Source organism: Homo sapiens, chromosome 7, assembly GCF_000001405.40.
Source record: "Homo sapiens chromosome 7, GRCh38.p14 Primary Assembly".
NCBI lineage: Eukaryota > Metazoa > Chordata > Mammalia > Primates > Hominidae > Homo > Homo sapiens.
The window spans coordinates 80,205,000-80,215,810 of NC_000007.14; the positions used below are offsets into that span (position 1 = coordinate 80,205,000).

The 10,811-nt window shown below is 34.6% G+C and overlaps 1 protein-coding gene across 2 annotated transcripts in view; it reads left to right on the forward strand.

Moving 5' to 3' along the window:
• Positions 1-10,811, forward strand: part of GNAI1 (G protein subunit alpha i1) — a 91,351-nt gene that overhangs the window by 70,169 nt on the left and 10,371 nt on the right. For both annotated transcript variants that reach the window (NM_002069.6, NM_001256414.2), the window contains exons 6-7: positions 5,970-6,099; positions 7,717-7,870. In NM_002069.6, the coding sequence (NP_002060.4) occupies positions 5,970-6,099; positions 7,717-7,870 (284 nt within the window). The remainder of the gene's footprint in view (positions 1-5,969; positions 6,100-7,716; positions 7,871-10,811) is intronic.

Consider the following 10,811-nt stretch of genomic DNA (forward strand, 5'->3'; position numbering starts at 1 on the left):
GTTCTTTTTTTAAAATCTGCTAGTTTCTTATAATTCACATTCATTTAAAATGTCACATGTCCCAAGTGCCAGTTGAGTGTTCAGCTGAAGGAACACCAAACACAAAGCCCTTGAACAGCTTTGGGAGGCCCGTCTGAAGTCAATGACTAATTTATATGAATATAATAGAGTCACATTATTCACACAGTATTAAAACCTATGCATGTCCTATACCAAATATTCCTGGAAATGAAAATAATAAAAATGCTAGAATTAAATGAGTTGTAGACTTACAGGGATTTTGTTGTTCTTTTAAGTTTAACAGATAGGGATATTTTTGTTTTTTTTTTAACCCAACAAGGTTAAGATTGATTTTAAGGAAGATTGCCACTGCAGTCATGGGCATCAATTAGATATCATCTCTCAGCTGCAGAGCTTTATAGATACGTTGACCCAAATTGAGCACACTCCAGTTGTCACTGCAGGAAATTGGATTAGAAAAGGTGTTTATGATCTGTTTTTTAAGGAAAATTTTAATATTTCATGTTTTTCTAAATTTCAACTTTTAAATACAGCGAAGGATTAGATAAATCATTTGTTACCAGTTTGTGATTTTTTTTTAAGATTATGTTTAGTGGAGTTTTTTGGTTTCTTTGTAGAAATTCAAACTTTACAAGACCGTGTATATATCTAACTTTTACCCAACTCCATCCCCACAATACCAAACAGAATTTTTTAAAAGATTACAAAAGCAGAAAGCAGAATTTACTGTTATATTATTCTGTTTGCAAAAAAGTAATTTATCTGCATTTGGTTTGCAAATGGAGTATCCCATGTCGTTATTGAAATTATTTTGTCTTTTTTATTTTCATTAAAAATTGTATGATTCAACATAATCATTCTAAATAAATCTTTACTGTGAATTATGGATTAGGCTTTGCTTCAGCTAACTCTGTTGCTCTGAAATGGTCGTGATGATAAAGCAGAATTTCTAAAATCATCTTGGAAAAAAAGGTTCCTAAGTGAGAGAAAAAATAATTATCAGTTCATCTCATAAAGAAGTCTCACTGTTAGAAGTAGTCAACACTGTTAAATTATATGCAACGATACTTCTGATTGCTTCCATAAGTATTTTAAATTTAATACATTTGTTACTATCACTTGTCACTGATTTACAGGTGGTTCATGTAATTGAATTTACAGAAAACTAAAGCTTTATTTCAATTTTTCATGGCTACTTCTCTCCAAAAAACAAACATTGACCTGCTTTCTTAAACAAAGATATAGGTAATAATTAATTTATGTGGCAACATTAGCTTTGTGCTTTAATACATGCTATGGTGTTGCATATGCTTTTTTTTATTTTCATTTTTTTCTTAAAGCCTTCAGTGGACATTTTACGCTGCTGTCATTATCTGTTACTGAAATCGTTTAACTTCTTTTAGTCTGCTCATTACTATTTCCATAATATTAAATAAACAAACTCAGTACTCTGATTTCAAGTAATCAGATATGTCTGATCTGGAGAATATTGTCATTTTATCTTAAAACTAAGAAGTGATTTTAATGACAAGGAAGTTCACTATCAGATTGGGACTTAGAATTTTTTTTTTAACCTAGTATACCTTAGATTCTGATTTTGGTTTTGTTCACCTTGTTTTAAAGATTATGTTCTAAAGCAAACTTAAATTATGTTCAGGTAATGGCTTACGGTAGTCTCCCCTTATTCGAGGGGATACGTTCCAAGACCCCCCATATATGCTTGAAACTACTGATAGTACTGAACCCTATATACACCATGTTTCTTCGTAGGCATACATATCTATGATAAAGTTTATAAATTCAGCACAGTAAGAGACTAACAAGTAATAATAACATAGAACAATCATAGCAACGTACTATAAAAGGTATGTGAATGTGGTCTCACTTTCTCAAAATACTGTAATATTTTTGGACCTTGGTTGACCACAGGTAACTGAAACTGCAGAGAGTGAAACCAGGAGTAAGGGGGAGCTACTGTATTTCTAACCAATATTGTCTGAGAAGAAAATGTGTGGAGTTGGAGTTAACAAGTAAAGATTCTAGACTTAGGTTCCCCTAATAAGTAGTTGGGTAAACTTGGTTAAGTTTCTTAACAGGCTATTACAGTTTTGCTCTGTGTTAGAGGCTTAAAAATAAAATGAGTTATTGCCTATGAAAAATGTTGTAAAAGTGAGAACTGTATACATAGTAATAAGTGGCAGAGGCAAATATTAAATCGATTATTTGGTACTTAAGGCAGTCTGACTATATAAAATTCACTTTTCATCTTGGTTAGGTGCACTCTTAAACATTTATTTCAGGACCATAGTTTTCACTTCCAGCCTAGGTTTTTCAAACTTGTCATTTCAACATCCAGCAAATACTGGGATTCAGTAAAGTTGACTCTCAACATTATCCTTCCAGGAGGTTCATTTATCATACTCCATTTAGGCTTCTTGGTTGAGGTTGATGTATTTAGTTGCTGTTTTTATTTGGTGACTTAAAGATAAACACACGTTTGTCAGGAACCTCAGATAAACTTTGTCTTATTTTGGATTTTGAGTTCTGTTAAATTACTATCATTACTAGCATATAGTTTCAACTTTGCTTTTTATAGGTTACATGAGCCTCAGATGAATGAGAGCAGAAATGCATTTAGAATAATTCTACTGGGAACTCTTGAGTGTGGTCATCATTTTGTGGTTTTTTTCGTGCTCTTCATGTTGTAATTCTGTTTAATTTTAACTGCTGAGTAAAATTCAGTTTCACATTAAAAAATGGTATTAACAAATTCAAAATGAGGCAATAGGGCATCATAATTTAAGAATTCATATTATCCCTGTGATTAGGCATTTATGGCCAGTGTCTATGTGGATCATTTTGCTTTAATTAAAGAATCAGCAACTGTGTTTTACTTTTTTTTGTCAGATATAAAGCATTCTTTCTATCCTAAAATTATCATAATATGAGATAAATTTCTATTTCATTTCTATAGTAGTATAAATGCGTTATGCATTTGGGAATGCAACATCCAGTTTATGAGTTTGATATCCATATATGGTTAGCTAGCTTTGTACCAGTTAGTTTTGGTGACAGTGGTATTAGATGCTAGTCTAAGGCATAAATCATCACTTCTCAGCATGTCCAACATCTCCTTCCACCCCACCCTTCAGAATCCCTAAGAAAACTCAAATTCATTTCCTATGTGATGTTGGTTTAAACTCTTATCTTTTTATATGAAGGAGAAAATACCATATTTTTGCTCTTTTTAAATAGAAGTTCAGAACTTAACAGTATATAAAATAATGAAGATACTTCTAATATAAGTGTAGAGCAATGAATAATGCTTGTACATTTTTAGCTACCATTATATGGAAAATGAAAGCAGTGATAAAAATTAGTGTTTCTTCTAGTTATCTTCATCTAGCTCTCTCTGAATTCCAACAAACTTAAGCAGTTTGATCATTTGTAATATCAGTTCTCTGTCATTGTTGCTTCTGGATTAATTGACTTGGGGATTAATTGATCCTCAAAAGGATGGTCCCCCAAGCTAGTAACATCTGACTCCTAACATTCTGAATCACATCAAAGTTTGAGAACCACTAGCTTAGACTCTGAGTTCTTTGTTTATGACCATGACCATTCTCCACCTGTCATCACATGTCCTCCTTCCCTGTGCGTCTGGTTCCATTTGGCTTAATAGTTCATTCCTCAGTTTATCTCTTCCACTCTCATTTTACTATAAGCAGCAAGCAGGAAACTGCAGCCTTCTACACTTTGCTTGCAGTTTTCCTCAGCTAAATATCCAAGTTCATTGCTTAGAAGTTGCACCTTCCACCCAGCGCTGGAACACACAGTTCAGCCAGCTGTTTGCCACTTTATAACAAGGACTGTCTTCTCTGTAGTGTATAATAACATGTTTTCATTTCCTTCTGAGACCTCATTAAAAGCTCCTTTAACGTTTGTATATCTACAACATTCTGTCCACAATGATACATGTATTCTCTAAGACAACAGAAGGTTCTTTCCAGCTTTATTTCCATCTCAGCTCTTAGCAGAATTGTCTTTAATCTCCCTATTTCTACCAGCAATCTCTTCAAGATAGTGTAGTTTTATTTTCTGTCAAATGCTTAAATATTCTTCTACCTCCTACATATTACCCAATTCCAAAGTCACTTCCATGTTTTTAGGTATTTGTTAGAGTAGCACCTCATTCTCTGCACTAAAGTTGTATCATCAGTATTCACCAGAAAAGCAGATCCAGTAGGTTATGTTTATTTCAAGGAATTGGTTTATGGGATTATGAAGGCTAACAAGTCCGAAGTTTGTAGGGTAGGCTGGCAAGCTTGGACATGAATTGTCATAACATTGTGGAGGAAGAATTACATTTTCTTCTGGGAAACCTCAGTTTTTGCCAGTTTTAGCCTGTAGAGTGATTGAGGGCTGTTGTATTATTAAGGATAGTCTCCATTACTTAAAGTTAACTGATTACAGATGTTAATCATATCTATAAAATACAGCAACATCTAAATAAGTGTTTCATTAAATAACACCTAGATAAATGTATGATGGCATAGCCAAGTTAACACACAAAACTATACCATCACAGAGAGGAAATGTGGGCTAGGGTCATTTGGGTTGTTATTGACATCTGTTATTGGATGGACAGAGGATGTGTGACATCTAATCAGAGAAGTTATCTGAGATATGCTATCTTTTCAGTAAAGTTATTTTCAAATTGTGTTCCTGGGCATTTTAGCAAATGGTAACCCAATTTATATCATTTTAATTTACTGTCATTTATTTTGTTCTTGTTTGATCGTTATTACCAGCTATGTTTTTTACATCTTAACTCTGTGATTTAGTTTGTGGTAGAAACATTTTGTTATATAGCTTACCTGAATTTAATGAACAATGGTACCAGCTAAGCCAAAAGAATGAAGAAGCCCACTTAAGTGATCATAAAAGTAACAATACTAGTTGATGTACTCAAATTTGGTTTATAGGCCAGTACTGCTCTGTAGGGAAAATTCTTTTTGCCTGGGAATTAAATAGGGACTATTTTAATTAGTGCACCATCTAGATAAATGGAGCCTTTAAAAATGTACCAGTTCGCATAGTGTTTTCATTATATAAGTGGTTATTTCTAGGTTGCATAATGTAGTCTATGCAAATTTTAACTTTTGCTTAACTTTATAAAGTCTTATAAGAGAAAAGGAATAGACTATTGTCTTTATATTGTTTGATTTTGCTACTACTTTGTTCACTAACCTATAGTGGTTCACTCTTGTATAAAAATTGAATTTTTTTCATTCTAAATTTTAAGGCCATTCAGTAGGATCCCTCATTTATTTCATATTTCAGTTCTCTCATTTTGTAATGTATCATGATTTTACTTTTTATGCAAACCTACCCTATCTGAATTTCATTTGCTTGCCCTACATTTTCTTACCTGAAATGGTTTCTTCTTTACATCAAAGCCTTGCTTATTATTTCTGAGTTAAAACGACATGTTTTAGTAGGAGGAGGGGTCTCTGTTCTCTGCCTTCAATGTTCCGTGACTGTGGCAAATGGAATATTTACTCTTTGATCTCTGCATTCCCCAGTTGCTTCATGTGACTTCTCAGTGTTTACACATAGTGCAGTCCATTCATTTGTATTTGCTTTAATGTTCTAAGTGTTCTCATGTGTGTTAATGTCTCGTTTTTTTGAGGTTATTTTTGTTTTTGCTTTTTTTTTTTTTTTTAGAGATACCCTCCCTTCAATCAAAAATTTTAAAAACTAGCAGGTTTTTTTCCCCTTTTGAGAAGTCCAGTTTGTGACATTTTTTTCTCCCATAAAGTCCTTCTCTCCTTCCTTTTCATCAGACATTTCCACAACTATTCAGAGCTTTTTTTGTTAGCATTAAAGAACTTCTCAGAGCTTTTTGAACATTTAATGTGATGTTAACTCATTTCTCCTCTTAACAGAATGTTTGATGTGGGAGGTCAGAGATCTGAGCGGAAGAAGTGGATTCATTGCTTCGAAGGAGTGACGGCGATCATCTTCTGTGTAGCACTGAGTGACTACGACCTGGTTCTAGCTGAAGATGAAGAAATGGCAAGTAGAACTACTTTAAGAGTTGAGCTTGAAACATGAAGAGCTGAAGGTGTTGCCAAGAATTTCTTTCTAATGTCTATAACAATTTGAAAGTACAGGGTCTTTCCTCTAACTTTTCTATTTGATAAAAGAGAGATATACTAGAGAAGCACAGGTGGATCTTGAGGAAAAGGAAAACATGGAGAGTCAATCTCACCTCAAGCCTGTAAGCTTAACTATGCATTTCTGTATCTAATATCAACATAGCACATGGAAATATAGTTACATAGTAGTCCAAGATTCCCTTTTCTTAATTTGTTACTTCTGTTAGTTTAGTAAATCTTTTTTTTTTTTTTTTTGAGACGGAGTCTCGCCCTGTTGCCAGACTGGAGTGCAGTGGCACCATCTCTGCTCACTGCAACCTCCACCTCCCAGGTTCAAGCCAGTTCTCCTGCCTCAGCCTCCCAAGTAGCTGGGATTACAGGCACGTGCCACCACACCCAGCTGATTTTTGTATTTTTAGTAGAAATGGGGTTTCACCATGTTGGCCAGGTTGGTCAGAAACTCCTGACCTCAGATGAGCCACCCATCTCGGCCTCCCAAAGTGCTGGGATTACAGGCCTGAGCCACCGCACCCAGCCGGTAAATCTTTAATATATGTTATGCTTTGTTGCTGCCCTGTAATTTTCAGATAGGTTTCAGTGTACCATTAATATGGGGGAAATGTTTTTAAATAGAAATGTAAAACTTTGTCATTTTAAGTTAACTTTATTACAAAGTGGGGGAAAAAGTAGAAATGTCGGTTTTGTTCAGTTGACCCTTGAACAACGGGTTTAAGCTGCATGGGTCCACATATATGAAAATTTTTTTCAACCAAGCACATTCATGGGATGCAAAACCTGAGTATACAGAAAGCCACTTTTTCCTATGTGTGGGTTCCACAGAACTGCCTGCTGGACTTGAGTGTATGCACATTTTGGTACCCTTGGAGGTCTTTGTACTAATCCCCCTGAGTATACCGAGAGACGATTGTATTTTTAAAATCAAGTATATGAAATTATAGTGTAGTAGGTGCAGTGCAACACCACATGTTCATTTCTTTCATTTCAGCACTATAAAATGTATCAGTGCCCTCTTTGATGAGCACAGATCCTGGAAGGTCAAGAAACAGGAATTGGAAGTGTCCTTCCAGTATTTATATTTATTATAATATTTAGAGTATTGGGCTAATTGGGTCTTAGCTTGTTCAATTTAAGTTATTAATCTTTAAAAACCTCTATTTATCTTCTAATGGAAATTTAGATGAAATGAACTCTATGACAATGTCATTTCTTTTCACATGTTCACACTTCACATCCCTAGATTATAATGTCCTGTAGCAGGATATTCCCTGGCACAGAGCATGACATATAGTGGGCACTTGGCAAGTAAAAGTTGAATGCAAAAAGTGGTGAAAGATGATTAGACACTTCTCTTACCTAAAGTGAAAGTGTGTTCTGAAATGGCAGAAATGTATTTTTGTGATACGTATTTTTCAATCACTAAACTCTGTTTTATTACAACACCTTTTATTTTTTAAAATAGTCCTCAAAAATCCTTGCTGTTAGTGACGATTGGTTTTATTTTTTTCTATTACAGAACCGAATGCATGAAAGCATGAAATTGTTTGACAGCATATGTAACAACAAGTGGTTTACAGATACATCCATTATACTTTTTCTAAACAAGAAGGATCTCTTTGAAGAAAAAATCAAAAAGAGCCCTCTCACTATATGCTATCCAGAATATGCAGGTATTTTCCTTTTCTGGGAATAACTTGTCAAGTTACATATTTCTAAGTGAAACTTCCCCTAAGGCAAGAATTCAGTTGTTAATTTAAATCTCTTGGCTTAGTGATTCTTAGACCTTTAAGGGGTATTATTTATCAAACTGCAGTTGAGCATAAAAATTTCCTTAAGATGTAGATGAAATTACTGAAAATAATGTATTCATTTTATGGAAAAGCAGTTAGATAATTTTTAGTGATGACTCCAAGTTAAAATACTATTTTTTAAATCCAGTTAACAGATTTCATATCAGGTACTGTGTGATGTACAATAAATAAGACATGTCTCTGCCCACCATCTAATCTGAAAGACAGACATACTTAAACAACAGGCAATAGCAGTGCAACCTACTGCTAAAATAAGGAACATGAACATTATAGTAAGGGGAAATGAAGACAGGATCATTGAGGCAGCTAACTCTTCCAGAAGGGCAGGGAAGGTTTCACAAGAAGCCAAAACTTTGGTAATGAGACTGTTAATAGTGCTTTAATTTTACTATGATGGAAAATTCCCTGGAGTGAGGAAAGTAGACCTGAAGTACAGTCCTGACTTTTCCATAATTAGCTCTTTGATCTTGAACAAGGCAGTTAGTTCACCTAGGTCTCAGTATTCCATCTGTGAAGTCAGGAGTTGGGCTAAAACATTAGTTTTAGTTTAATTTAGTTCCTTGGAGCACCTCCTGGGTTGCTGTTGAAGGCGGAAATGGGAGAGGGAACAGAGCTAATTACTGCCCCCTGCACCCACCACCTTATAACTTTTTCATTAAAGCAGAGTAACTCAGCTTTCATCTGGTTTATGTATTGAGTAAAGTTTTACTTTAGTGAAGAGCATTCAGTATGCCTTAAAAAAACAGGGAGTTTGATTACCACTGGTTTATGTAATCTCCAAATCTAGATAGTTTGAAGAGTTTAGTTATTTACCCTCACCCCACTCTTCCTGTTTTTTTTTTTAAAAGTCTCAAGAATTTGTTTTTTTATAAACAGAATTTTCCTCAGTCTTGTGTTGAGTAAATTGTACGATGAGTATTCACTGCCATTTTACAGGAAATGTTAAGACAACCCTGTGATGTCAGTGCTCAGGTATCCCTACCCATACAAATGAGAATACCGGGGCTTCCTGAAGCCAGAGTCCAGTTCCAGACCCAAGTCCATTGTCCTCCTGCTCCTAGACCATGAACGACTAGGCTACATTTAATTAAACATTCAGTGGAACCAAAAGGGGAGGGTTCTTTGGTAAATATAATCATGTTACTTATAGCTCTTTTTGTGTACGGTGAAATTACACTTCAGTTCAAACTAATTTCACACATTTACTTACTTTAAAACTTTGCTTTCTTTTTGAAAGTCAAAGTCCTAAATCACTGTATTCAGCAACATTTTTTTGTGCTTATTAGAAATAAGCTACCCAGAGTCAAGATGGCTTAATTTTTCCCTTATTTGAATATATTTTTCAGTTTATTTTTATCATATTCTATGATGTAGCCATTTTGTACTAATTCATAGTACCAGATTCCCCAAGTGAATCCATAAATATTGTATACCTACGGGGATTTTAGAGCAACTAAGAATATACTTGTTAGCTCTTTCCTTGCCAAGTAGACAGTGTGTTTAGGAATTTTTGCTTGTGTTTTGCTTAAGTTAATAAGAATACCTGACTTCAGAATCTTTGCACAAAAAGAATATTACATAATTCTTTCACATCCCCAGAGTTAAGATTATTGTTTAAGATCTCCATGGCATGCCCAAAGTATTGATTCAGTTGCTTCTTGCTTCAGCCGCAACTCTCAATTTCCTGTGGCTGTGGAAGAACCCTGTGTAGCCCCTAAACAACTCACTTGATTTATCTCCTGTCTGTCTGCTCCTGTGTTACCCTTCTCCTCCTCTTCTTTTTCCTGTATGTTGCCACTTCACCAGTTTCATCTGCAGTCACGTCATCTTAGCTCTCTTATCCTTTCATAGTCGTATCTATTCTCAATAGGTTAAATTTTGTGGTCAGCCCTAATTTCTCTCTGGAGCCTTAGATTTACATTAGCAACTGCTTGAACATACATGTTTTGTTGTTGTTTGGTTGGTTGGGTTGGTCGGTTGGTTGGTTGGTTAGCACCTGAAGCTCAAACAGAACTCTTTTTCTTGTTTACACTCAGATCTCTTCTCTTTCCCTTTTGATTGTGTCATCAGCCTCCCAGTTCTTCATTTTTGAACCTGGTTATCACCTATACTTACCTTTGTTCAGGACAATTCTATCACACATTAAAAAACAATCTATCATATTTGCTCTCCTGTCCCTGCTTTGCCATTTGTTTCTTAAGACTTAAAATCAGAATGAAGAATGTTCATTCATATGTGTTGTAGCTTTTAGGGTAATCTAGCTAGCTGCCTAGGATATATAGAGCAAATTGAGCTAGGCACTCAATGTAAGCTGTTTGGCTGAAGCATAGTTTAATTTAGCAGTTGCATTAGCTTCTGTGGGCCAACAAGATGCTGTTGATTGCTTTAAAATTTTGGAGAACGAAACTTATGATTTAATAAAATTTGATTTTTAAAAGTATGTGATTTCTAGTGATATAAAAGAGTTAAAATGTAAACTTAAAGACGATAGCTTTAGTACCTTTTTATCCCTAATAAAAATCTCATAATCTATGCTGTCATAGCACATTACACAACATTCCTATGGGCATTTGTCACATTGTATTACACTGGATTCTATAAGATATAAAAGGAGTATGAGGCTTGTGGGGTATGATATTTACTCTTGAAGAGTTCACATTCTAGTTTAGGAGATTCAGCACTGAAAAAGAATTTAAGACTCTATAAAGCAATATAACAAAAACTGAAATAGTTATTTCTAGGAGGAGGAAAAAGTTTTTAAGTGATAGAGAACCCAGCTAGATTTGATTAATTAGGAAAA